Below are 25,072 nucleotides of genomic sequence, written 5' to 3'. Positions count from 1 at the left end.
GTGCGTGTGTGTGCATGCATGTGTAAGTGCATGCATATGTGAGTGAGCCTCTTCTCTCTTGATGCCTGAGTGTACATAGAACACATCAATCAGGCAGCGTGGGGGGGACACGCTCTGTTGGCGGTGGGATCCGAGCCTCTGCGTGTGACCTTGAACGTCCTTCCCTTCCTCTGGCCACCTCATCTGCAGAAGGCGCTAGGGCCTGCCCACTCTGAAGCTCCCAGAGGCTGGGTTTCCAGAGCAAATGTCTGCTAAGAGCTGACTCTTCTAGAAAAGCAGAGGCCTGGCAGTAATTCAGCTAAGTCACTGGGTTAGTACCTGTGGCTGGTTCTGCTCTCCCAGGGAGCAGGTCTTCCACTCTCGAAGGAAGGGAATACCCCACAGTGCTGGGGCTCAGCCCCTTCTCCCTTGCCCCTTAGTTCTGTGGCCCCCACCTCCCTGCCTCTGCTGTGGCAACCCCCTACTTTGACCTGGTGGAGGAGCGCCCATTTCTCAAGACCTGTGTTTGGGGCCCCCGCCTCCTCTGTGAGGTGTCATCCCCTTCACCCTTTCCTGTCCTCGGGCTCCCTGGAGAGGAAGGCACCAGCTCTGGGCCTGTGGCCCTGGCTGGAGGCTGCTTCGGGGGCTTCTCTCTGGGGCTGAACGAGCCCTTTGCTGCTGCTGAGATGCTCCAGAGAACCACCCGAAGCACAGAGATGGTTTCCATCCCTTCCTGCTGGTGCACGAGGCCCACTGTTCCCAGAGGAGTGGAGAAACGGGTGCTCGTGAGCTCCTCCAGGAGCACTGCCCTGAAGGCTTCACAGCTAGAGAGGCAGACGGACCGCTTCCCCTTTGTGCTGGAATTGAGATCCTCCTGGGAAGGTCCAGTCACAGCCCCTCGGGCGGCTCAGGCTCAGCCCTCCCTGTGGGGCATAGAGTGTCGTGAGGAGAGAGGAGGCGCTGCTTATTGATTAAGTCCAAGGAGTGGAGGTCGCTCACAGAAGCTCATTCTGCCAAAAAGCCCAAACCCCCACAGAGGGCTGCGGGCATGAGGAGGCCGTTAGAGGGCAGCGTCCAGGGAGAGGCTTGGCTCCTGGCCCACCTCCAGCCTCCTGGCGCTCACTCAGCAGCATCTGTGGCACGGGTCTCGGGGTTCCGGCGTGGCACCTTCACCTGAGGGGCTGGCTTCTCACTGTCCTGGCCTGGGAGTCCTGCTCCCAGGGCCTGGTGAGGGCTCGTGCCCGGTGCAGCCACCCCAGGATGGGGTTCAGAGGAGTGGAGGCTGGGGCTGGCTGCCCCGTCCGCGATCCTCTGTGTGAGGGCCTCTCCAACCGGCAGTCCTGGCCCCGGGTTCCCTCTGGCACTCTGTGTGGTGAGTGTGGGCTGAGCAGCGGCCTTTCCCAGGGCAAGGGCGCCCCACGTGGAGGCCACTGCAGTCGTCCAGCTCAGAGATGGAGAGGCCTGGGCCAGGGCGGGAGGAAAGCTGGGGCTCTGGGCTGAACTGAACTCACTCGGGCCTGGGCTTGCATCTAGACCAGAGGACCCAGGTGGCCTGGGCTCTGCCTGTGGCCCTCGGGGACCCTCACAGCTCAGCACTGTGCGGACGGGGGGTAGCAGGGGGGCTGGGAGTGGTGCAGAGTGGGCAGGCCCCATGGCCAGCCTGGCCCTTCTAGCCTCACTTTCTTTGTCTGCAGCATGGGGGTGACGCAGAGGATGTGGATCTTCATGCCAGCAACAGCAGGCGCGGGACGGAGGGCGGCGGGGTGGGAGTCGTTCTTGGAAGGCGTCTGTACACCTCACTGCATCACTCCCTCCCTTTGGTCTCTGAAAACGGGAAAAACAAAACGCAAATTGTCATTAGCCTTTAGGAAGCCCTCCCCACGGTCTGCAGCAGGTCCCGGTGACAGTAACTCCAGCGTGACGCATGAGAGGCTGTGACGCAGCGGAGGTCGCACGTGCCAGGCCCTGCTGGCCCGATTGCTCTGCAGCCATCTTTGCAGCCTGCGCAGGGCTCGGGGGGTGGGCGGCAGGGTTTTGTGGAGCTGTGTTACGCACCTCGGCTGGCTGTAGCCCTTTCCTGTGGAGCCGGCACCCTCATCCCCTCATCTCTCCTCCCACATTCACTGGGGGCTTTGGGATTTGCAAGATTTTGTAGGTTCAGAAGTCCCCTAGGGCAGACTTGAGGTCTGAGAGAGAGCCCCCTTTGTGGCCAGCCTTCAATGACTTACTAGGTGGCTAGTGGGGTGTGAACACACGGGCCAGCTGAGGCCCAGGGAGGGGAAGCAGTATCACAGTAGTGGGCCAGTGTTGCGCGATTCCTGGTGCCCACTTTCCGCCTTGCTCTTGGTCTCCTCGAGTGTCCGTGGCTGCTGTCAGGCAGGGTGCAGATCGGGGTTGTGTTGGGGGCTCCTGTCCACTGGGACAGATGGCCACGCCCAGCATCCCTTTCCTTTGTCCTCCTTCCCAGCATCATCCTTGGGACAAAACAAAGGGCCAGGCTGGGGACATGCTGTCCTGGCTTTAGGCCCGTGTCCGCTCACTGGTTGGGTGACCTTGAACCCCGATTTGCCTCATTCATTTCATCTGTGAAGTGGGCAGGTGGAAGGTCGCTCTCTGTCCTCAGGGACTTGCCAGCTGGGACAGCCCGTGTGGCCGTAGGCAGAGTGTAGCGGGCCGTGTGGAAGTGACAGCCTGTCAGAGGACCCAGGGGGTGCCATGAGGCTGGCTTGAGAGGCCACCCACGGGAGACAGTGGAGAGCAGGCCAGCCTCCGTTCTGGGCAGTGACCTTGCCCCCGCCCAGGCCTGGTGCAGTCGGATTCTGAGGGAGGGTGTCCTGCCCCGTCCTGGGGAGCCTGTGGGGACCGCCGAGACCCACCCTGAGGACCCCTGCTGGCTTCCATGTGCCCCTGAGCACCCTGCCCTGATCTGAGCATTGCTGCTTCCACGGCGTGCCCTCCTCAGGGAGGCCCTCCCCACTGCCCTCGACTGCCCTAGCCCCCTGTCCGCCTCCCACGGGGAGTCTCTGGTTGGTCCCTGCCCTGACAGAAGGTGAGCGGCCCTTGCTTGCCTGGGGTCAGCCCCATCCCCAGAGCCTGGAGTAGTGGGCTCCACAGCGACTTGCCAGTACTTGTGGAACCGACGTGTCAAACTGGCCAGTGCCCCCAAAGACAGTGACTGCCCTTCCCCCACAGTGACCACCTCTCCCCCATGACAGTGACCGCCCCTCCCCCATGACAGTGACCACCTCTCCTCCATGACAGTGACCACCCCTCCCCCATGACAGTGACCACCCTTCCCCCATGAGTGACCACCGCCTCCCCCATGACAGTCACCACCCCCTCCCCCATGACAGTCACCACCCCCTCCCCCATGACCATCACTGCCCCCTCCCCCATGACGGTGACCACCCCCTCCCCCATGACCATCACTGCCCCCTCCCCCGTGACAGTGACCACTCCCTCCCCCATGACCATCACCACCCCCTCTCCCATGGTAGTGACCACCCCCCCATGACAGTGACCACCTTCCTCTTCCACAGTGACCACCCCCTCCCCCATGAGTGACCACCCCCTCCCCCACAATGACCACCCTTCCCCCATGACAGTCATCACCCCCTCCCCCGTGACAGTGACTGCCTCTCTCCCATGAGTGACCTCCCCCCTCCCATGACAGTGGCCGGCCCATCCCTGATGATAGCCAGCCCCCAGTGCTAGGCCTGTCCTGAGCCCTCACTGCCGGCACCCAGGATGGACGCAGGTCCCACAGGTAGCATCTCATCCCTGCGCACAGGGTGTCCTGCAGAGCCATGCTGCAGGGCTGTGTGGTGAGTGCAGGGGGTTGGAGGTGCAGGCAGAGGCTAGGCCAGCCCCAGAGCATTCCCAGCCTGAGTCTGGGCAATGGACGGCCCAGCTGGAAGCACACCAGGCCACGTTTCTCTTTACTGGTTTATGTTGGGCATCTTCCTTTTTCTCTGCTGTGCAGGAATGGAGTTGATAAATACACTAAAGTTCCTCTGAGAGCAGAAGTGGAGCCACCCAGCGGCCAGTGGAGGCTGAGGGCTGCCAGTGACGGGGGCCTGCCCCCTATGTGTTCTGTGGCCTGTTCACTGGCCGCAGGGCAGCCGTCTTTGGCCTGCATGGGGCCCTGGCCCTCTCCATGGTGCTGGGACTCTCCGCCAGACAGGCCCGCTCCAGCTGCATACACAGGGGTGTTAGAGGAGCAGAGCGGCCACCCAAGAGTGAGCAGGACCTGGGGCCGGCTCAGTGCACAAGCTCCCTCCAGGGAGGACACCATGCCCACTTCCCAGTGGGGGAGGCCACAGGGCTGGAACCCAGGCAGTCTGACTCCGACCCAAGTGCCATCTGTCTCTGGAGGGTGCAGGGTCTGGCAGCCCTGGAATTTGAACTTTTCACCTGGGGCTGCCCACCATCTCCCAGAGGAGGGTCGTAGCGGGAGGGGTTGTGCCAGTCACATGTGGGAGCTGAGTCTGCTTATGGGTTGCTCGGGTGGGAGAAGGCTCGAGGGGTCCCGGAACATTGCCTGTCTCCACTGTGTACTCACTCCCCTCCCTGGGGCTCCCCTCCCTGCCTGAGCTGAGAGGTAGCCTGTCTCTGGCCTTCCAGCCTTGGGTAGCCCCTGGTGCTGGTCCGGGCTGGAGCCCCGAGCCTCCCAGGACTCCGGGTGTTGGGTATCCAGGTGCCGCGGAGGTGAGTGCTGGCGGCTGGCAGCCTCCTGGCCAGTGGCTCTGTCTGGATGGGGGAGAAGATGGAGAGGCCATTCCCATCTCATCACCGGGAGTGTGAGCTTCAATTGTGTCTGAGCAGCAGTGCGAGCCCTGGCATGGGCGAGGAGGTGTCTGAGCATCTAATTAGGTCGTGTCCAGGAGCCACTGCCCGTCCCTGCAGCAGCAGCTCCTCTGTAGGGCTGTCTGCTGACTCTCAGCTGTCTGCCTGTCCAGCCAGGCCCTCCGAGCTCCTGCAGCTGTGCCGGCCCTGTATGGACCCTGCTGACCGGCCCCATCTCCTCTTGGCCTTGGCCAGGAGAGAGCTGGCTTCCAGGACAGCTGCCTCCACCCTCTGCACTGAGCTGTGGGAATCCCAGAGGAGGCAGGGTGCCCACGGCCACACAGCAGGGCCGCCAGCTGCCGCCAGGAGCCCAGGCCAGAACCATGCCCGGTGCCTCCCAGGTCACTCTCTGAGCCCTGGTCTCCGACTCCTGCCAGATGGTTGGGAATGAGAAGGCCCTTGAGATAGTGACTGCAAAGTGCTTTGCAAACTAGTCCGAGTGATGCTGTGGGTGAGGGCGTGAAGGACAAAGGACAGCCCTCAGCCTGGTGTTTGGGCCCTTGCTGTTTCCCCAGGTGTTAGCGAGGTGATTGATCCCTGCCTCGTCCCTGCAAACTCATGCCCTTCGATTCTCCCAGGGGCCCTGGGCACCCTCTTGGCCTTTGCTGCGTCTCACCTCTGGTGCCCTTCCTCACACCGCCCTCCACCTTCCCTCTGGCCACTCTGCATCCTCTGAGGTCCGCAGGGGGTCCCAGCCCTCTGCAGACCCTGAAGCAGTTTGCTCTTTCCTCCCCTCCCTGGGCTCCCTTACTCCCTCTCCTCGTGGCCCCTGGGTGGGCTGCCCCTGCCCCTGTCCCAGCTGCCCCTGCCCCTGTCCCTGCCCCTCCAGGTGGGGCCTAGGTAACCTTTTTTATTTGACCAAGATAAAGAATAGGGTGGCTGTGGTGGCCAGGGGAAGCTTAGTGCCAAGGCTGGGCCAGTGTGGCCCCTCCTCTCCCGCCCCCACTGCAGCCCCACTTCCTGCTTGCTGAGGGCCCCATGGGGCTGAAATGCATCCCTGCAGTGTGTGGGTAGATGCAGATGCTCCAGGGCAGAGCCAACAGGTGGCGTCTGAACACCAATAGCACCCAGTTAGCAGGAGATGACCCTCGATCCGAGGTGGCCAGAGCTGTCTGGCAGCCAGGCTGGTGGGAGGGATGACAGCCAGGTCTCCAGGAAGCTTCCTTGTCCCCTGCGGAGGGAAGCCTGCAGGCCTCAGGTGTCTTCTAGACAAGGAGAAGTAGGTGCTGGTCCAGGATCCCAGGCTCAGGCACAGCCATACCACTGGGCCATGTGACCCTGGGCAGGTCTCTCCTGGAGCCTCGGTTTACTTATCTGTAAAATGGGCACAATGACACCAGCCTCTGCTGGCCTCAGGGTGAAAGTGCCACGGTGGAGTGTAACTGCCTGGCGAGAACTCAGGCCTGGGAAGAACCCGCGCCAGGAGGTGTGGCCGTGGCTGTCCACGTGCCCCACACCCACCCTCCTGCCACGCTGGGATCTCCACCTGCCCCTCCCTCCTTCAAGCGTCCCGGCCCTCTGCCTCGGGAATGCGGCCAAGCTCTGGGGTGAGCAGGTGAACCCTGGGCTTTGCTGTTGGCTCAGCAGCTCACTGTACGCTAAGGGGTTAGCCTTGCACTGCTGCCAGCTGGGGTGTCGGTGCCACTGAGAACGGCAGCAGATGCTGCTGATGGCCTGCGGTGCGGCTGCTCGAGGGAGGGGTTTGCGTTTTCTTGGGGACTCCTGAGGAAGGAAAGCACTCAAGCCTAGGAGGTTCCGGAGTCCTGGGATTTCTTCATGTGGGGTCCTGGAGCTTTCTGGGGCAGGAAAGGCGAGCCGTGGTCTGACACGTGGCCCCCCCACTTTCTATGTGCTGAGTGTGGGGGAGGTGGAGCTTGCCACCCCGTGAAGAGCCCGACTGACAGGGTTGTGCTTTTGTGGTGGTGCGGGGCTGTAGATCCACACTGGCGGGGCACCTGGTGAAATGTGTTCTGCCCGCGTTGGTCTGGGATAGGGCTGGGAACTGTTTGGGGCTCTGAAAGGCCCTTGGTGGGTCTGGTGCAGCCTGGAGTAGGGCTCCATGCTCAATGCGCTTTGGGGCTTAGGTGGCGTTCTGGGGGCTCGGGACAGTCTTCCTGTGATTTGTTTCATGTCTGCTCTCCTTCCCTGTCCTCACCCCACTGGTGACCTTGACCTTGACCTTGCTTCTCATTCCAAGGGGAAATAAGCCCTTAGAAGAGCTCATCGACAGCCTCCTGGGGTCTGGCCGGCCTCTTCTCCAGGGGCGGTGGGTGAGCTGCTTGCACCACAGCTAGCCTGTGGCTCCCGCCCTGTCTGTGCCCGCCACCCACCACCTCCACAGGCCCATCTTGGACCCTCACGTCTCCCTCGTCCAATTCTGCCCATCAGCAAGCACATTGCAGTCATGCCCATCTTCAAAATTCCCATGAGAAAGGGTGCCGCACCTGCCTTCCCACCACTGGTTCTCGGCACTCCTCCATTCCTCTCCGGCCCTCGCCTCGCTTCCACGGGGGAAGCTCGTGGGTTCTGTGGGTCAGAACTTCCAACGGGGCAAAGCTGAGACTGCTTTCCCTGTCCACTAGCTCGGAGAGCCAAGGGTGGAGACTCTCGGGAAGGCTTGTCTGCCCCTGTCTCGTGTTGGTGTTCTGGCTACTGGCTGGGATGTAGGCTGGGATCTCGGCTGGAGCTCCACGCTTGGCCTCTCCCATGGCCTGGTTTCCTCCTGGCATGGAGGCTGGGCCCTGGAGGATGCTGCCAGGACCCCGGCAGAGCCAGAAGGAAGCCGAGCCTCAGAAACCCTACAGTGTCCCTTCTATCACATTCTGCTTGAAACAGGTGGGGGGCCGGGGGGGGCGTGCGTTGCTGTGACCGTCCACGGGAGAGGCAGCTGACCCCGTACTCCCAATGGACTGTCCTCTCCCTCATTCCTCACCCCACACCTCACAGTTCCCTGGGCAGGCCCGGCCACCCCTGCTCCTGGTTCCTATTGCCCGAGGCCCAGAGCACCCTATGCCTGACGCCTGAGCCGCTGGCTCCCTTTCACTGGCAGGCCCTGACTCCAGGGGTGTCCTCTAACCCCTGCCGCTCCCACGCTCGCCCCCCACACACTGTTGGGTTCTCGTTAGGATTCATCTCTCGCCACTCGAGCGTAAGCCCGCGGAGGCAACGGCGTTGCCTGTTCCCGTCACGTCTGCGTTCGCAGCAGCTCACCGGCCTGACGCTGCCTGGCACCCAGTGGCTGCTGAATGAACAAATGGGTGGGTGGCAGTGCTGGGTGGGGTGGGTGGAGGAGGGCTGGGTCGGGGGCTGGGTGAGTGTGTTTCTATCCTGGGACTCCATGGAGGCTCTGTGTTTAACGACAAGGCCCTGCTGACATTATTTATATGTGTCTCAGCCCACACCAGAGCTCTGTGAGAGTGAACACTCCTACGTTCTGATTTTGTCAGAGATGACGGTGGCTTGGAGCAGGCCCATCGCTTGCCCAGGGTCACACAGCTCACACGCCATGGAGCTGGGATTCGAGCCCAGGTGCCCTACTCCAGCACAAGGCCATCCTCACCGCGATGCTGGAGAGCCGACTTTTGCTTGGCCTTTCTGAGATGAGGGTGGTGGGATTTGTCTCCAAGGCCACCCGCAGGTCCAGAGCCAGGCATGGAAAGAGCCAGCGCCCCAGGAGCCAGTGACTTAATCCCCAGCTGAGGACACCAGTCCTGAGCAGCGGGTGGCGAGCAGCAATTCATCTCCCTGGGCAGGAGAGGTTGGAGGGAACAGGCGCGTGCCCTTCAGTCCACTGCCAGCGTGCAGCAGGCTCACCGGGGCACTGGTCCAGAGCTGGTGTCTGCTTTCTGCCAGCACTGCCTACCTGCCCCTCTGTGTCTGCACTGGGCTTCCCTCGCCAAGCCCATCTCACCTGCTGGAGCTCCTGAGTGGGCATCACCTGACCCAGGTACAGAGCTCAGAATACGCCACCTGCTCTGTTGCCATGGCTACCTGGCAGGCCCGGGAGGGCGGAGGATGGGATGCGGAGATGGCCCAGGCGGGGCTCCAAGGCCCCAGGCAGAGCCCAGCAGACCTGCCCTGTGGTTGGCATTGCACAGCCTGAAGGTGCCTGACCTGGCTGATCTCTAGCTATAAATGGGCGAGTGGACAAATAAATGCATACGGTTTGGTGGCTCCATTAACTGGAATAGTCGTCTTTGTAGGTGGATGGTTGCCAAGATCCTAATTATAAGAAGAGATGGTGTGATAGAGAAAAATGCAGTGATGTTTTGACTTCTCGTTCTGGAAAGTGAAGGGAACACACAGGCACACACACACCAAGGTTTTATTATGTCTCGTGCAAGGGGCTTTTTCCGCTGTGCCAGTGAAAGAAGAGAAAGAAAATTCCATGAGCGCTTTTAATGAGTTCTAGTTTTAGAAGCAGTCTGAAAAATAATTGCATGATTTAACCATCTACTAAGTTCTGGGTCTTCCCCGCTCTCCCGCCCTCTGGCTGCCGTGCCAGGGTATGGCCTGCGTGTCCCCCGAGAACAGCACCAGAACTGCTGCTGCCCTGGAGGGCTCCATCCGGGGCAGTCCCAGCCCCTCGAGCAGGCCCCACCCTTCTCAGGCCTGGCCTTGGCCTCTCTGTCGCCCCAGGACTGAGGACGGGGCTTCTGCCTGGAACTAGGCTCCCACCTAGGCCCGTGGGGGAGCCCAAATCTCTGGCAAGTCTCCTAGGTGTGCCTGGGAGTGGAGCTGCGCCTGCCCCGAGCTTCCTCCTCAGGAGCCGAGGCCTGCCCAGGTGCACAGGGCCCAGGGCCCACAGTGCCTGGGGGGACCCACCCATGCTAGCTGCCTGCCTGAGAGGCCCTCTTCTGTCTCTTGTGGTGGGCCCTCTCTGGGCCCATCCTTGGGATCTGCCTGCACCATCAGCGACAGGCCCAGCTGCAGGTCCCAGCCCCACTGCGCCTGCCCGGCTCTCTCGCAGCCGCAGGGTATGTTCAGCTCTTTAGTCCTCTGTTTGTTCTGGGACCAGCACTGGGCCAGGACGAAGGAGAATCCCCAGTAAGTCCCGGCGGCCTCCCATGATGGAGGAAGAGACACAAAGGCAGGCAGTGCCTCAGGCTCCCTGCTCCCTTCAGGAAGCTCCTATGCAGAGGGCTTGGGGCTGCCTGGTAGAAGTGGCCCATCCCTTTGCATCTGGGGCCTCTAGTGCAGGCCTCAGGGCCAGGGTGCACCCTGCCCCATCCTGAGACAGCACAGTGGTGTGTTCGTAGCCTGCAGCTCGTGTGGCTGATGTGGCAGGACCTGGGTTTCTGGGGCTGCCTGTGCCCTGAGCAGCCCTCTCAGTTGGTTCCGTGAGATCCCCAGCTCGGTCGCCAGGAGGGATAGTGGGGCCCTGGCCTCCAGCCTCAGGCTGGGGAGCAGGGAGGGGCCCCAGGCTTGCTATCTGAGTTCAGCGTCCTTTCCCTTCTATACAGAGAGTGCTCCCCAAGGACTGGGTCCAGCTGGCCGTGCCCAGGGCCTGTGGGAAGTGGTTCTCTGTGGTGAGCCATTTTCCAGAAAAGAAGGCTCAGGGGTTTCTTAACTGTGGCTGCTTGCCTGGAGCCCGAGCTGCTGTTCAGGCTTTGCCTCCCGCTTTGTTTGAGGTGAATGATGTTCACTTATCAGTGAGCGCCTCGGCAGGGGGTGCCTCCGAGTGGGCTGGGCCAGCTGGCAGCTCACCCTTCTGCAGGGAAGTGGGACCAGGCCGATGTTTGAGTGCCAGGCGTCTTAAAGAGAGGGGCGCCTAAAATGAGGAAGAGCAGGCTTCACACAAATGCTGCGTTCGCTCGAAAGAGGTCAGGGAGTGGGAACCTCTCGGCATGCAGCCCTGAGGACCTGCCAGCCCTGCTGGCCGAGCCTCTTGAAGCTGGGACGCATGAGCCCATGGTGCTAGGAGCCATGGTCCCCTCTCACAGGAGGCACAGCCACTGCACTGAAGGCTTGGAGTCTGTGTGTCCCCCGCGCTGGCTGTGGTGCAAATTAACATTTTGTGTCTTAGCTCATCCCAATGGGCAGTTATCACTGCTCCTGCTGCTTCTCTGCTGAGTCTAGCAGTGAGTGGGCGGGAGCCCCGGCAGCAGCCCCAGCCCAGAGAACATGCCCCCACCCCCCACCAGCTCCTCTGTCTGCGGGCCTGACATGTTGCTGGTGAGGTTGGCGTGGATAGCAGGTGGCTCCGCGAGTGCCGGCTCCTGTCAGCCGCATCCTCGGCACCAGCACTGACTACAAAACCCTTCTGCCCAGGAGGACCCGGGGCCTTGGAGGAGCAAGCTATCTGTGAAGCCAGGCAGTGGTAGTGAGTGTCGGCGATGAGATGGAAAATCACTTCTGCCACTGCCTCCGGGGGCCTCCCCCAAAACCTAGAATGCAGGCCATCTGTGCCCTGGGGGCACCACAGGGTCTCTGCCTGTCTTGGGAACACCGTGTCCCAGCCCGCGCTTTTGGGGTTGTGGAAGTTGACTCTGATGTCAGCAGGGAACGCCCAGTGCAGTGGCCGTGTGTGCACAGAGGCGTGCCTGGAACACTGAGGCCGAGCCTCAGGGACTCGCAGCTGCCCCTCTTCCACCCCGCCCCAGCCGCTGGGCGTCCCAGGCCCCTGAAAGGCACTGGACCCGGCCTTGCTCAGCCACACCCCTCCCTGGCATCTCTCACCAAAGCTGCATCCCCACAGGCTGGGCAGGGGCTCGGAGCCATGCTTCCCCCCAGGGACACAGCAGCATCATGCCAGTGTGGCCTTTCTCTGCCCCTGCTCATGGGAAGCAGATTGATGGGTGCACACACGTAAGGCCCATCCCATGCTGGTGGCTGCAGCACGGGACGTCCTGAAGGGAGCCCCACGATCCCCGAGATCTGACCGAGGTCCTGGGTTCCACGACCTGGAGGGCGGCCCACTGTCCCTGAGATCTGGCCGAGGTCCTGGGTTCCACGACCTGGAGGGCGGCCCACTGTCCCTGAGATCTGGCTGGGGTCCTGGGTTCCACATCCTGGAGGGTGGCCCACTGTCCCTGAGATCTGGCCGGGGTCCTGGGTTTCACGACCTGGAGGGCGGCCCACTGTCCCTGAGATCTGGCTGGGGTCCTGGGTTCCACTGTCCCTGAGATCTGGCCGGGGTCCTGGGTTCCACGACCTGGAGGGCAGCCCACTGTCCCTGAGATCTGGCCGGGGTCCTGGGTTCCACGACCTGGAGGGCGGCCCACTGTCCCTGAGATCTGGCCGGGGTCCTGGGTTCCACATCCTGGAGGGAGCCCCACCATCCCCGAGATCTGGCCGGGGTCCTGGGTTCCACATCCTGGAGGGTGGCCCACTGTCCCTGAGATCTGGCCGAGGTCCTGGGTTCCACGACCTGGAGGGCGGCCCACTGTCCCTGAGATCTGGCCGGGGTCCTGGGTTCCACATCCTGGAGGGTGGCCCACTGTCCCTGAGATCTGGCCGAGGTCCTGGGTTCCACGACCTGGAGGGCGGCCCACTGTCCCTGAGATCTGGCCGGGGTCCTGGGTTCCACATCCTGGAGGGCGGCCCACTGTCCCTGAGATCTGGCCGGGGTCCTGGGTTCCACGACCTGGAGGGCGGCCCACTGTCCCTGAGATCTGGCCGGGGTCCTGGGTTCCACGACCTGGAGGGCGGCCCACTGTCCCTGAGATCTGGCCGGGGTCCTGGGTTCCACATCCTGGAGGGTGGCCTTGGGTGCCACCCCGCGTTGATGGTGGTAGTGACCTGGGTTGGAGTCTGTCTAAATGTGGGTTGGATGCGGATTCCAGCATTTTCCAGCTGTGTGTCATTGGGCAGTCACTAACCCTCTCAGTGACTCAGGTTCCGTCTTCCCTGTCAAATGCAGCAATAACAGGTGAGTCACATGCCGCATGAGGAGATGCTTCTGCCTGTGAAGCCCTTGGGAAGGCCCCTGCAAGTCCCTGAGGCCATGAGCCACCAAGACCAGGCTCAGGGTGCACCAGGCCTGGGTATGCTCAGTGGCCAGGGTCGAAGTTGGTGGTGAGGTCATGCCTGGCTTCTGACGGGATCACGTCTATAACTGGGAAGCCCGTGGAGGTGGGGACCCACCTGGCTGAGCCATACTTCGTGACCTTGATGTCCCCATTGTAGGATGGAGCCTAGGCTTGGTCTCCAGAACCCGTGACCTCACTCTGGCAGAAGGTGGTGGTGACGAGGAGACCAGAAACCGGCCCGGGCCAACCCGCACCCATCCTTTCGTTCACTGTTGCCCCCATAGCCATGCCACAGATGCACACTGAAGCCATGACCCCTGGGCCCCACCTTCTCGCTACCTTCCCAGCCACTGCCCAGTTCCTGCAGAGGGACCGCCTGCCTCTGCATCACATTTAAGCCTGATAATTGAATTGCAATTGATACTACGTGTCAGTTTAAGATCATGCTAATTGCTTCATTTCCCAGAATACTCCTAAAGAGAAAATGAATTCCCTTGTAACATTTTGCAGTGGGGTGAAATGACCCTCATGGAAGTCAGTCCCAGCTCTGGAATGAGCTGCTGACTGGACGGGTGTGCCAGGGCAGGGGTCACGGCAGGCCTGAAGGATCTTCCCCTGGACTTGGCTGGAACCCAGCCATGTGCCAGGCGCTATGTGAGGAGGGTTGCTTTTGTTCGGGTGATAAGTGAGCAAACCTGGCTTGAGGTGGCCAGGCTTGCCCAGGGCCATGCATCTGGCCAGCGGAGGAGCCGTCCTAGGTGCAGCGTGGCAGTCAGGGAAGGAGTGGGCATCTGGTCGGTGGGCAGGGGTCTGAATCCCAACTCTTCCCCTTTCCGAGAGGCCCTGGAGGTCATGGGACCACTTGAGCCCCCAATCCCTGCTCTGTTAGATGGGTGCTAGGATGCCCCTGGGTGGGTGCCAGGTGTGAAGGGGATGGTATGTGCCTTGCCTGAAGCACAGCCCAGGTGTGTGCTCTGAGAGTGGCGTGGCCACGTCTCTTAGGATCATCAGAGCCACTTAACTGGGAAAAAGGAGTTAGGGTAAAGGTAGACAGCATGGAAGATGGAAGAGGCCAGCACAGTATGCCGGGGTGGAGGGGTACCCGAAGTCCTCCTGGCCCACGTTTCTGTTCCTTACTCTGTTCACTAGCTTCATGGAGCCACTCAGTCCTTGGATAGCAGTGGAGCAACCATCCACTTAGCCGCTCATTGACCAACCCACCCACCCACCTGTCCATCATCCATCCACATACCGTCCATTCACTCTTCCATCCATTCACCCACTCATCTATCCCCCCATCATCCATCTATCCCTCATCCATCCATCCATCATCTACCCACCCACCCACCTATCCACCCATCTACCCACCCATGCACCCATCCATCCACCTACCCCACCCACCCACACATCTATCCATCCATCCATCCATCCATCCACCCACCCACCCATCCATCCATTCACCCATCCATACATCTACCCACCCACCCATCCATCTACTCACCCATCTGTCCAACCACCTATCCACCTACCCATCCATCCATCCACCTACCCATCCATCCATCCACCTACCCATCCATCCATCCACCTACGCATCCATCCATCTACCCATCCATCCATCCACCCATTCATCTGTCCATCCACTCGCCCATCCACCCATCACCCACCCATCCATCCACTCACCCATCTATTCATCCATCCACCCACCCATCCACCATTCCATTTGTCCACCCACCTATTCACGCATCTGTCCATCATCCTTTCATCTACCCATCCACCCTTTTGTCCACTCCCCTGAACCCGTTCGTCCATCTATCCCACTTCTTTAGGATTTGCTGAGCAGTGCCTGTGTGCTGGCCCATGCTCAGTGCTGTTACACAGAGAGGGAAAGGTAGACCCTTCTGTGCAGGAGCACCCAGGCAAGTGGGGATGGTATATCTGCCCTAGACATTCTCTGCTCTCTTGCAGTCAGGCCTTTACAGTGCTGGGGATGCTGTCCTTCACTAGACTGCAAATCCTGGGGACAGACCCTGGGACCTCTGTACTCAGGGAAGCAGCTCACAGCCCCTAGGACACCTGGAGAGGTTGGGGTTTGGCTTCAGAGTCAGGAGATGGAGCACTCAGATCCCTGCCCTGTCTCTGACTTTTGGGGTGACCCTGGGCTCACCCCTGGCCCTTTCTGGACCCAGTCATGCCTTCTGTCACAGGAAGTGGACAGACCAGCCGGTCCCCAGCTGTTCTCTGGTTCCTGATTCTGCAGGTGCCACCTGGGCCCGCCCCAGGTTCCATGGGAAACTTTCAGGTGCCCTTGGTGTCTGCCCCACAGCCCTGCTCCTGATGTGGTTCTATGTTGTTTCCACAGAGCAACTTGCTGGATGTGAATCAGATCATCAAGGACTTGGCCTCCATGGTGTCAGAGCAAGGAGAAGCTGTTGGTGGGTACCCGCCCCAGCCTCGGGCCACCTGCTGCCCCGAGGGCCTGCCTGCCAGCCCCCAGCCCTCACCCCTTCACCTAAGGGTGGGTGAAGGGGCCTCTAAGAGGAGCCAGGCCCAGGCTGGGGTCCAGGTCTGAGCATCTGCTCCCTCCCCTCCTGCCCTGTCTTCCTCCAGCCCTGCTCCGCTCGTTGCCACTAGTCCCTGCTCCGCTCATTGACACTGGTCCCTGCTCTGCTCATTGACAGACACTGGCCCCCACTCTGCTCATTGACAGACACTGGCCCTGCCTCTCCTCATTGACAGACACTGGCCCCGCCTCTGCTCATTGGCAGACACTAGCCCCCACTCTGCTCATTGGCAGACACTGGTACCCGCTCATTGATAGACACTAGCCTTCACCCTGCTCATCGACAGACACTGGCTCCATACTCTGCTCTTTGACAGACACTGGCCCCCACCCTGCTCATTGACAGAACCTGGTCCCTGCTCCCCTCACTGACAGACACTGGCCCCGCCTCTGTTCATTGACACTGTCCCTGCCTCTGCTCGTTGACAGACACTAACCCTGCCTCTGCTCATTGACAGACACTGGCCCCACCTCCGCTCATTGACAGACACTGGCCCCGCCTCTGTTCATTGACGCTGTCCCTGCCTCTGCTCGTTGACAGACACTAACCCCGCCTCTGCTCATTGACAGACACTGGCCCCGCCTCTGCTCATTGACAGACACTGGTCCCACCTCCGCTCATTGACAGACACTGGCCCTGCCTCTGTTCATTGACACTGTCCCTGCCTCTGCTCGTTGACAGACACTAACCCCGCCTCTGCTCATTGACAGACACTAACTCCGCCTCTGCTCATTGACAGACACTGGCCCCGCCTCTGCTCATTGACAGACACTGGTCCCGCCTCCGCTCATTGACAGACACTGGCCCCGCCTCTGTTCATTGACACTGTCCCTGCCTCTGCTCGTTGACAGACACTAACCCCGCCTCTGCTCATTGATAGACACTAACCCCGCCTCTGCTCATTGACAGACACTGGCCCCACCTCCGCTCATTGACAGACACTGGCCCCGCCTCTGCTCATTGGCAGACACTGGCCCCGCCTCTGCTCATTGGCAGACACTGGCCCCGCCTCTGCTCATTGGCAGACACTGACCCCGCCTCTGCTCATTGGCAGACACTGATCCCGCTTTTGCCCTTAGACAGACAGTGGCCCCACCTCCGCTCATTGACAGACACTGGCCCCACCTCTGCTCATTGACAGACACTGGCCCCGCCTCTGCTCATTGACAGACAGTGGCCTCCCCTCTGCTCATTGATAGACACTGGCCCCACCTCCGCTCACTGACAGACACTGGTCCCGCCTCTGCTCATTGGCAGACACTGACCCCGCCTCTGCTCATTGGCAGACACTGACCCCGCCTTTGCCCTTAGACAGACAGTGGCCTCCCCTCTGCTCATTGACAGACAGTGGCCCCACCTCCGCTCATTGACAGACACTGGCCCCGCCTCTGCTCATTGACAGACAGTGGCCTCCCCTCTGCTCATTGATAGACACTGGCCCCACCTCCACTCATTGACAGACACTGGTCCCGCCTCTGCTCATTGGCAGACACTGACCCCGCCTCTGCTCATTGGCAGACACTGACCCCGCCTTTGCCCTTAGACAGACAGTGGCCTCCCCTCCGCTCATTGACAGACACTGGCCCCGCCTCTGCTCATTGACAGACAGTGGCCCCACCTCCGCTCATTGACAGACACTGGCCCCGCCTCTGCTCATTGACAGACAGTGGCCTCCCCTCTGCTCATTGATAGACACTGGCCCCACCTCCGCTCATTGACAGACACTGGTCCCGCCTCTGCTCATTGGCAGACACTGACCCCGCCTCTGCTCGTTGGCAGACACTGACCCCGCCTTTGCTCTTTGACAGACAGTGGCCTCCCCTTTGCTCATTGATAGACACTGGCCCCTGCTCCGCTCATTAATAGACACTGGCCCCACCCTGATCATTGACAGACGCTGGTCCCTGCTCCGCTCGTTGACAGATACTAGCCTCCACGCCTTCATCCTGGGCCTCTGCCCAGAGATTCCCCACAGTGAGGCTGTTCTGGGGTGGATAGGGTTGTGAGGTTGCAGAGATGTAGAGGCTGGAGCTCTGGTTCTGCTATGGATGTACCCGTGCTGGGGGGGTGTAGGGAGAGCGGCATGGGAACGTGCAGGCCTGGCCAGGGCATGGTGTCCTGAAGTCCCTGCATCCACGAGAAGAGGGGCTGCACCGCAAGCCAGGGCACCTCCCAGCCAGCACCGTGGGCCCTCAGCTCTGCGTTCCTCTGGAAAAGGAAGTGAAGCAGCAGGGGTGCCCGGGTGCCTAGAGTCAGGTCCTACCTTAGCGCCAGGCTGTATGTGGGGGCAGGAAGTGGGAGGCCCACAGTCTTGTCCCTTGCCTCTGAGTCCCCAGGAGAAGCCCTACCCTTTTGCTGCTGGAGGCCACCCATCAAGGACCTGACAGGCGAGAGGTCAGGATGAAGGGGCTGAGCTTGGAGCCAGGGAGGCTGGAGGCTCCGTTCAGGAAACCTCACCTGGGGCAAGGGAGGGGCCTTCCCAGATGGGACAGAGGTCACAGTGCCCAGTGACCCCGCCCAGGCCCACCGACTCCCCAGCGCCCCCACCCGCCTTGGTTGCTCACCCACCCTGGGCCACAGCCCTTCCTCTATGGGGTTGCCCTTGGCTTCCCTAGAGAGGTCCTCACCATGAGGTCTAAAAGCTCTGGGTCCCCTTAACCCTGACCCTAACCCTGGGGTGACTGTGTCCAGTTCTGACTCCATGCGCTGTGGCCTCCTCTGCTTGTGGAGAGCCAGAGTCTCTCATGTCCTCTTCCCACTGTAGTCACACAGCAGCCCTGGCCTGCCTGTGCGGCCCCCAACCATGGTGGGGCTCCAGGTTTGCAGGGGGCTTTTGAGGGGATGCTGACCTTGCCCCCCTCCCACAGGGACCCCATCCCTGCTGTGTTTTGGTGTCTTTCCCGCTCCCACTGGAGGGCTCTGACCCATTCATCCCGCCCTGTCTATACCTGCTGCTGCCAGGAGCCCTGGCTCCCAGGCCAGTGGGGCAGAGGCTCCTGGCTCTGGCTGGGTGTCTCTTTTCCTCAGTTGAGGAAGAGCCAGGCTGCCCCTGGTGCCCACGGGCCTTTGGTTAAAGCGCTCAGCTGCCCACCAGCACTCTCAGGCTCCACCCCACCCACTCATTCTCCCTCCATGCCCTGACTGAGCTGTGGCCTCACCTTGGGGCCTGTGCCGAGAACAGCCTCCTGGTCCCTCCTGCTCTGACAACTGGCAGTGTGTCCGGAGACCCTCAGGCAGCTGGCGTCCTCTTCCCGGGTACTGTGCTGTGTCCCCAGGAGAAGAGTGACTGCGGCTCAAGCACCCTGCTGCTCCCTGGGGCGGGGCTGGGCCAGGCCGGCCCCTCAATCCCCTCGGAGCCTGGGCTTCAAGCTGCTCTGTGGCCCCCTCCAGCTGCTCTGTGGCCCCATACAGGGCCTGCTGGGCTGCCCCATCACTCCCTTACCACCTCCTCTCCCCAGGACCCCTCCTATCGCTCTGTCCTCCCCCCTTCTCCCCACTGTCAGCTTCCAGAGGTGGCTGTAGCCATTTCTGCCCCTGGCCACCTGTCGCGGGCTGGGATGTGCTGAGTCTGTGGAGCGCTTTGTCCACTTCAGGTGCCCACCCAGTCCCAGTGACAGATTGATCAGTCCCAGTGAAGGACTGATCACGAGGGGCACTCATGCCAGCAGTTCAGGGAAGGGAGCAGTCGTGGGGAGGGGGACAAACCAGGGCTGACCCACCACACGTGGTCAGGGCTCCGGGGAGGGCAGAGGGCACCTGCCGGGTGGACAGGCGGGAGGCCCAGAGAGTAGCTGAGACAGAAGGGCCCCTGTATAGTGGATGTAGGCTGCCTATGCTGGGTGCCGATGCGAGGCCTGGCCGCTGTGCACAGATGCAGGGCCTGTGATGACCTGTGACCCCGAACCTGGCTGCTCTCCCCAGGGTCTCTGCCCCCTGCTCAGCCTCTGGTGCCTTTCCAGGGTCCAGCAGCAGCAAAGCCATCTGCCAGCAGAGCTGCAGCCCCGAGCCGGCCGCGGCAGCCCTGCTGCTGGGTGCCGGGCCGGGCTCCACACCCCTGCGGCCGGGCCCCCACTCCCGCACCAAGACACGCAAGCCCAACTTCAGCCCCCAGGAGACGGAGGTGCTGGTGCAGAGGGTGCGGCGCCACTACCCGCTGCTGTTCGGGGCGCTGCGGGGCACACCTGCCCGAAAGCACCGCGTGTGGAGCCGCATCCTGCAGGCAGTGAACGCGCTGGGCTACTGCCGCCGCGACCTGGGGGACCTCAAGCACAAGTGGCGGGACCTGCGAGGTGCTGTGCGCAAGAAGCTGGCGGAGGGCGGCCCCGCCCCCGGCCTCCTCCTCACACCTGTGGAGCGCATGGTGGCAGAGACCTTTTCTGCCCACGGTCCCCAAGGCGAGGGCCAGACCACGGAGCCCCTGCCAAGTAAGTGGGCCTTCCCCACAGCCCGCCCCCCCGGACCACACTGCCCTGGGGCAAGCAGGGCCGGCGAGTGGGCTTGAGCCTTCTGCACCAGCTCCCAAGAGGGAGACCCTCCGAGGGAGACCCAGAGGCCCATGGAGATGGCCCGCCACCCTCCTGGCCCATCTCTTCTTTTAGGTGGGGAAACCAAGGGTCGGGGCCAGGGAGGGTTCTGCCTGTCTCGGTAGTGGAAGGGCTGCGGTTCCAGCTCAGGGTCCTCCCTGCATTGCCAAGCATTGTGCCATCAAGGGGCTCGACCATATACGCCACCTCAAGCCGTGCCCACCGGGTGTCCAGATGGGATGCTGGGTCCTAGTCACTGTAGAGAGGTGAGCGCTACCGTGGGGAGGCGGTCACAAGGTGGCCTCTGGGACCAGTGCCTGGTGAGGGGCAGAGACAAGGCCTGAGCTCCCCGACGTGCAGCAGCAGCGGGTGCAGCCCAGGGTGCCCTGGTGCCCTCCAAGGCCCCCATCTTGGCCTCTGCCGTTCCCGCCTGGTGTCGTGTGGCCGGAGGCCTGTTTGGCCCCGGGTCCCGGCCTGGCCTTCCTCTCCACGGGCAGCCCTCCCCTTCCAGATGCAGTCCAGCGGTGAGCACGGCTGTCCTTAGGCAGCCAGGTCTTCCAAACCAGTGGGTCCCAGCAGGGAGAAGTCCCTACTTTCCCATGCAGGGCAGCAGGGCCCAGCTGGCCCCAGGGTCTGAAGACAGGGGTGTCTGGGAAGAAGGAGGGCTTCCCTCCGCTCTCCCCCAGCCCCAGAGCCCCAGCGTACAGCTACCATGAGAAGGCAAGGCCAGCCAGCAGGTGGGAGGAGCCTCAGCCCATATGCACCTCCAGCCAGCTGGCCCTTGACATAGCTCCCAGGGAGCAGCAGGTGACCTGTCCATTCATTGGTCACGTTGAGGAGTTTGGGCAGAGCCAGGGAGGAGCCTGGGCCCCAGCTTGACTCTTCCCCGCCCCACGCTGTGCCTCACTCTGGCCTGCAGTGGCCTCCCCCTCCTTCTGCAGGCCCCTCCCTCTGGGCCCACTTGGAAGCCCCACACGTGGTGCTGTCCGGTGACTCTCAGCCTGTCAGGCACGCTGTGCCCCCTTCCGAGCCCACGGGCCCACTCCAGGGACCACCGGAAGCCAGGCGTTTCTGTCTGGTCAGGCCTCGTCTGCAGCCCGCAGCTGCCACTGGCTCCAAGGGTGACGCTGGCTCTGAGGGTGATGCTGGCTCCGTGCTTCCTCCTGCCGCCTCCGTGCCTCCTCCCACCGCACCTCCTCTCCTCCTCAAGACACCGTGCCAGGAGCTCCTTCGCCGTCCTCCGCATATGGTGGCACACCCTTCGAAGCAGAGCCCCGCTGGACCCTCCCCTTCCTGGGAGCTGCTGGAAGGACTTTGGGAACGAAGCCCCGGAAGCAGGACCAGCTCCTTGAGGGCCACAGAGTGGACAGAAGGACCCAGCCTCACAGGACAGGCAGGGGCTGGCCTCAAACGCCCCCAGTGGCAGCCATGGCAGAACTTGGAGCGCTGGGGCATCCTCAGCTGCTCCTGCTCACAGCGGTGCATGAGGCTGGGACCCATGGGCAGAGTGGGCCGGACTGGTTGGGAGACGCATGTAGACCCAGCCAACCCTGTGGCTGGGCTTGGACAAGGGGCCTGGGCTGTGGGCCTTGGGCGATGGGCCTGGGCACTAGGCCTTGTGGTGGGGCTTGGGGGATGGGCCTGGTCAGTGGGCCTCCTGATGGGGTGGGGCTGGAGGAGGATCTGGGTCCTCTCAGGCCTGTGCAGGCCAGGGATGGCTGGATCCACCCCCATTGAGGCCACATTGTCTCCTGAAGGGCAGATTCTTGCAGCCAAGGGTCCTATGGGCAGAGGCAGACCTGGTTTGGGGGTGCTTCATGGCAAGGATAGACATGTGGTGTGGGGCTGAGAAGGAGGGGCCTGGCAGGGGTGGCACTGGTGTGGCCCAGGTGCTTAGTCCTTTTCTGCAAGTCCTCAGCCCTGGAGGCTGCAGGAACTCAGGTTTGCTCACCCTGTGGTTCCCTGCCCTAGACTGAGACCCAGCCTCGACTTCTGTGACCCCTGGTGGATCAGCCACTCCAGGTCCCCAGGCCGCTGGGCTCCCCTGCAGCACGGGAGTCTTTGGTGCCTGTGAGCTGCTTTGAGTGGCCTGCCCTGCTGCTGACAGCAACTGACGTGTTGAATTCCCAAGCGAGAGTGCTTAGGACAGGGCCAGACTTCCTCTTGTGGGCGCAGAGGCAGGAAGTAGGAAAGTGGCTGCCAAGCCTGAGGACAGGGTGGGGGCATCCCAGCTGCAGGCCCAGTTGCCCCGAGCCGGCCATGCTTTCCGCTCTGCAGCGGCACTGCCTGGGGTTTGGGCAGGGCCAGGCCTGCAGGGCTGGTCACGGCTGTGGGGCTGGGGGCAGCGAGTTGACCCAGTGCAGGGGGGTCTCCCACAGGGGTCCCTGTGCCCTGAGGGCACTGGGCAGGCAGTTTCCTTTGAGGTGTGTGTGCTGCTCTGCGAGTGTCTGGGGAGGGCGGTCCCAAAGGCTGCTCTCTCTGGCCCCTGGAGGCCTCTGGCCTAGTGCTTGGGTATCCCTTGGACTCCTGGAGTCAGGGGATGTGCAAGGGGCCCCCGTGGAGCACCCCCTGTGTTGGGAGGAGCAGGTGCCCAGGGCCTGTGGCTCTGCAGGGCTCACCTCACAGACTGGGGGCCTCCAAGACCTGACAAAGCCACTGGGCCCAGGGCTGATGGCTGATGAGGTATTGGAGTGTCGCTCAGTACCACAGGTCCCACGCACCAAACCTGTCCTCACCCCACGAGCAACACGCGGCCGCACAGCACCGGGAGCAGCCCCCCTCCCCTTGTGCATCTCTGTGCACTGCGCCGGGGCAGGACATGGCGTGCCCACCTGGCAGCCTGGGCGCTGAGGGAGATGTTGCTGGCTGCGGAGCTGGGCAGTGGTTGTGTGAGGTGTCTTGAATGTGGGCAGTGCCATGCTGGCTAAGAATGCCCCTGGGACCGCCCTGGGTCTGTGGCCGGTGCATGCAGCCCTGGAGCAGCAGGACATCAGTCCCCATTCTGAGGGTGGGCCTCCAGGTCACACACTACGATCAGAGTCCCCAGGGCCAGGGCTAGGTGTAGAGCAGGATTGGGCACAGGCTGAGTCCAAGGGTGGGGTCCAGGGCTTGGCTGAGGCTGCGTGTGGTCACGGGGCAGAGAAAGTGTCCAGCCAGGGCACATGGCCTGTCCAGCACCACCTGTGTTAGCCCAGACCACCATGGCCTTCCTGTCTCTGCTGGCAAATGCTCTCCACTGTCCACATTCACCTCTCAGCAACAGAAGCGAGGCCAGGCTGTTACCACTGCAGGTGTAAGGTGGCTCCTTTGCACGTGAGCGGGGCATTGCCCGGGCCCAGGCTAGCGCCTCCTCCCTGGCAGGCTGGTCCCTCCTGAGTGGCAATTGTGGGGGGATCCGTCACACCTCTGGCCCCATCTTCCTTCCCTCTCCTCCTCCATTGGCTCAGAGGGTCGTGACCCTAATGTGGCAGGACATAGAGAGCAGAGTTCAGTTGGGGGCTGTCTGCAAGTGAGCAAAGGGGTGCTTTGCTCCAGGAGCGGCCGAGGCCGTCACCCATACCCGCTCTCTGGGCTTTGGCTCCTTGTGCAGGAGCCTGGCTCTCCCCTCCCTGGCTAGGGCAGGAGCCCCCAGATGCGGCGATCAGGGTGTGTCTGCGAGTGCCTGCGGCTCCACTAGGGCCCTGCGCTGGGGGCAAGGGTGGGGTGGAGCTGGTGACCAAGGGTTCAAGGATCCCTGTGAGGCCTGGGTGGGGGCTTCTGAAGGCAGGGCTCATGGGTTCCACCTCCTGCCCAGGGGGCTTGCAGAGATGGGGCCACAGTTCCCTGATGAGAGTAGGGAGTCCTTGCTGGGACGGTGGGGAGTGGCCTTGTCTTTCTGAGGACCCTCCTCCCTCAGAGCCAGTCGTGCCAGGCTGTGCCTGGCAGCAGTCCCTGTGGTTGTAATGGCCTCTCTATCCCAGGCCTTAAGACCCCTGAGGCTCAAGTCAGCTCAGGTCTGTGCCCTGGTAGGCACTGCAGGTGCACAGTTTGTTTAGATACTCCTGCCTCCCAAGCTCTTCTCCAGTTGCCTGATTGGAGGCAGGCCTTGCAAGGAACCTCCCTCCGGGAAGAAGGCTTGCCCGTGCTCGTGTTTGCTCGTGTTTGCATGTGGCTCTGTTGAGGACCCCGGCTGTGCCTGCGCTCCTGGTGCCCAGGTGGCATGTGTCCTTCCTTTGGGTGGAAGACAATGCTGAGCATGGAATCTTCCGGATCCCTGGGGCTGCCCCGGCCCTGGTCTGGTGTCTCCCGTGGGCCCTGCTGATGTGGCTTCCCTGGGTGGCACTGCTGCAGCCACCGAGCCCGGCTTTTCCCAGGTACCATCTCCCGTGATCCCCGCACGGCAGCACAACTTTCTGATCAGCTCCCTGTGCTTGAGTCGAGGGCCAGTGCGTGTGGCAAACCAGAGCCCTGTGCTTGCAGACCCGGTCTCCATCAGCCGCGTCGCAACTCCACAGACGTTAAGGCAGGGGCTTTGCCCCTTCAGAGGGGGCCGTGGCCACAGAGTGGAGGGGCTGGCCCAGGCAAGGTCATGACAGAGCAGGACTTGACCCCAGCCCTCACCTCCGCCTGCCACTCCCACCCTTTCCTGAGTGGACTCTTCCTGCCCCACCTGGTGTGGGCACTGAGGAGTCCCCTTCCCTGGGCCACCTCCAGGCCTCCGTTCTAATGTCATTGCTGCCCACTGCCCACACCACGCGGAGCCCTCGGCACGTCTGGCAGCCCAGCGCCCATCCCTGCAGCCTCTGCTCCTCTGCAGGCCCTGGGCTCAGGCTCCCTGGGCTTGCCTTTGGGGGGTGTCCTCAGGGCGGGGGCGGCTGGGCCTCCATCTGTAATTGCCTTCTGTTGTCTTGATTTGCAGATAGTATTGAAGCCAGCCTTGAGGCTGCGTCCTCGCATGCGGAGGCAGCCCGCCAGCTCCTGGCTGGAGCCAGCCGGCACCAAGTAAGTCCGTGTGAGGGCCACAGTGCCCGGCCGGCCCGGCCTCCGTCCCCTATCCTCCAACCCTCCCTCCGTCTGTCTGGAGGGGCCCAGGCCCTGCCCTGTGCCTGGGAGGGGCATGCCCACAGGCCTCCTCTGAACCAGTCTGCTGCCCGTGCCCTAGGGCTCTGGGAGTGGCGGGGTTGCGGCAGCAGTGGTCTGCGTGGTGCCCACAGCG

General features: G+C 62.4%; 1 protein-coding gene across 43 annotated transcripts in view, besides 1 other annotated feature; it reads left to right on the top strand.

Moving 5' to 3' along the window:
• The window catches only part of TSNARE1 (t-SNARE domain containing 1), a 194,950-nt gene that overhangs the window by 107,391 nt on the left and 62,487 nt on the right, over nucleotides 1–25,072 (top strand). For 15 of the 43 annotated variants that reach the window (XM_047421461.1, XM_047421471.1, XM_047421462.1 and 12 more), the window contains 4 exons: nucleotides 15,154–15,226; nucleotides 17,692–17,749; nucleotides 19,315–19,779; nucleotides 20,962–24,769. In XM_047421461.1, the coding sequence (XP_047277417.1) occupies nucleotides 15,154–15,226; nucleotides 17,692–17,749; nucleotides 19,315–19,779; nucleotides 20,962–21,727 (1,362 nt within the window). In that variant the 3' untranslated portion in view covers nucleotides 21,728–24,769. The other 28 variants (NM_001366901.1, NM_145003.5, NM_001363740.2 and 25 more) reach the window with 6 other exon arrangements.
• Nucleotides 5,100–5,601: an enhancer, noted in NCBI's record as "H3K4me1 hESC enhancer chr8:143375399-143375900 (GRCh37/hg19 assembly coordinates)". NCBI's record gives its function as "activates a minimal SCP1, AML or CMV promoter by ChIP-STARR-seq in naive H9 embryonic stem cells {active_cell/tissue: H9 hESC(naive)}" and the evidence as "EXISTENCE:reporter gene assay evidence [ECO:0000049][PMID:30033119]".

The sequence above is a fragment of the Homo sapiens genome, chromosome 8, assembly GCF_000001405.40.
Source record: "Homo sapiens chromosome 8, GRCh38.p14 Primary Assembly".
Taxonomy (NCBI): domain Eukaryota; kingdom Metazoa; phylum Chordata; class Mammalia; order Primates; family Hominidae; genus Homo; species Homo sapiens.
This window is presented reverse-complemented; position numbering and strand designations above follow the sequence as displayed.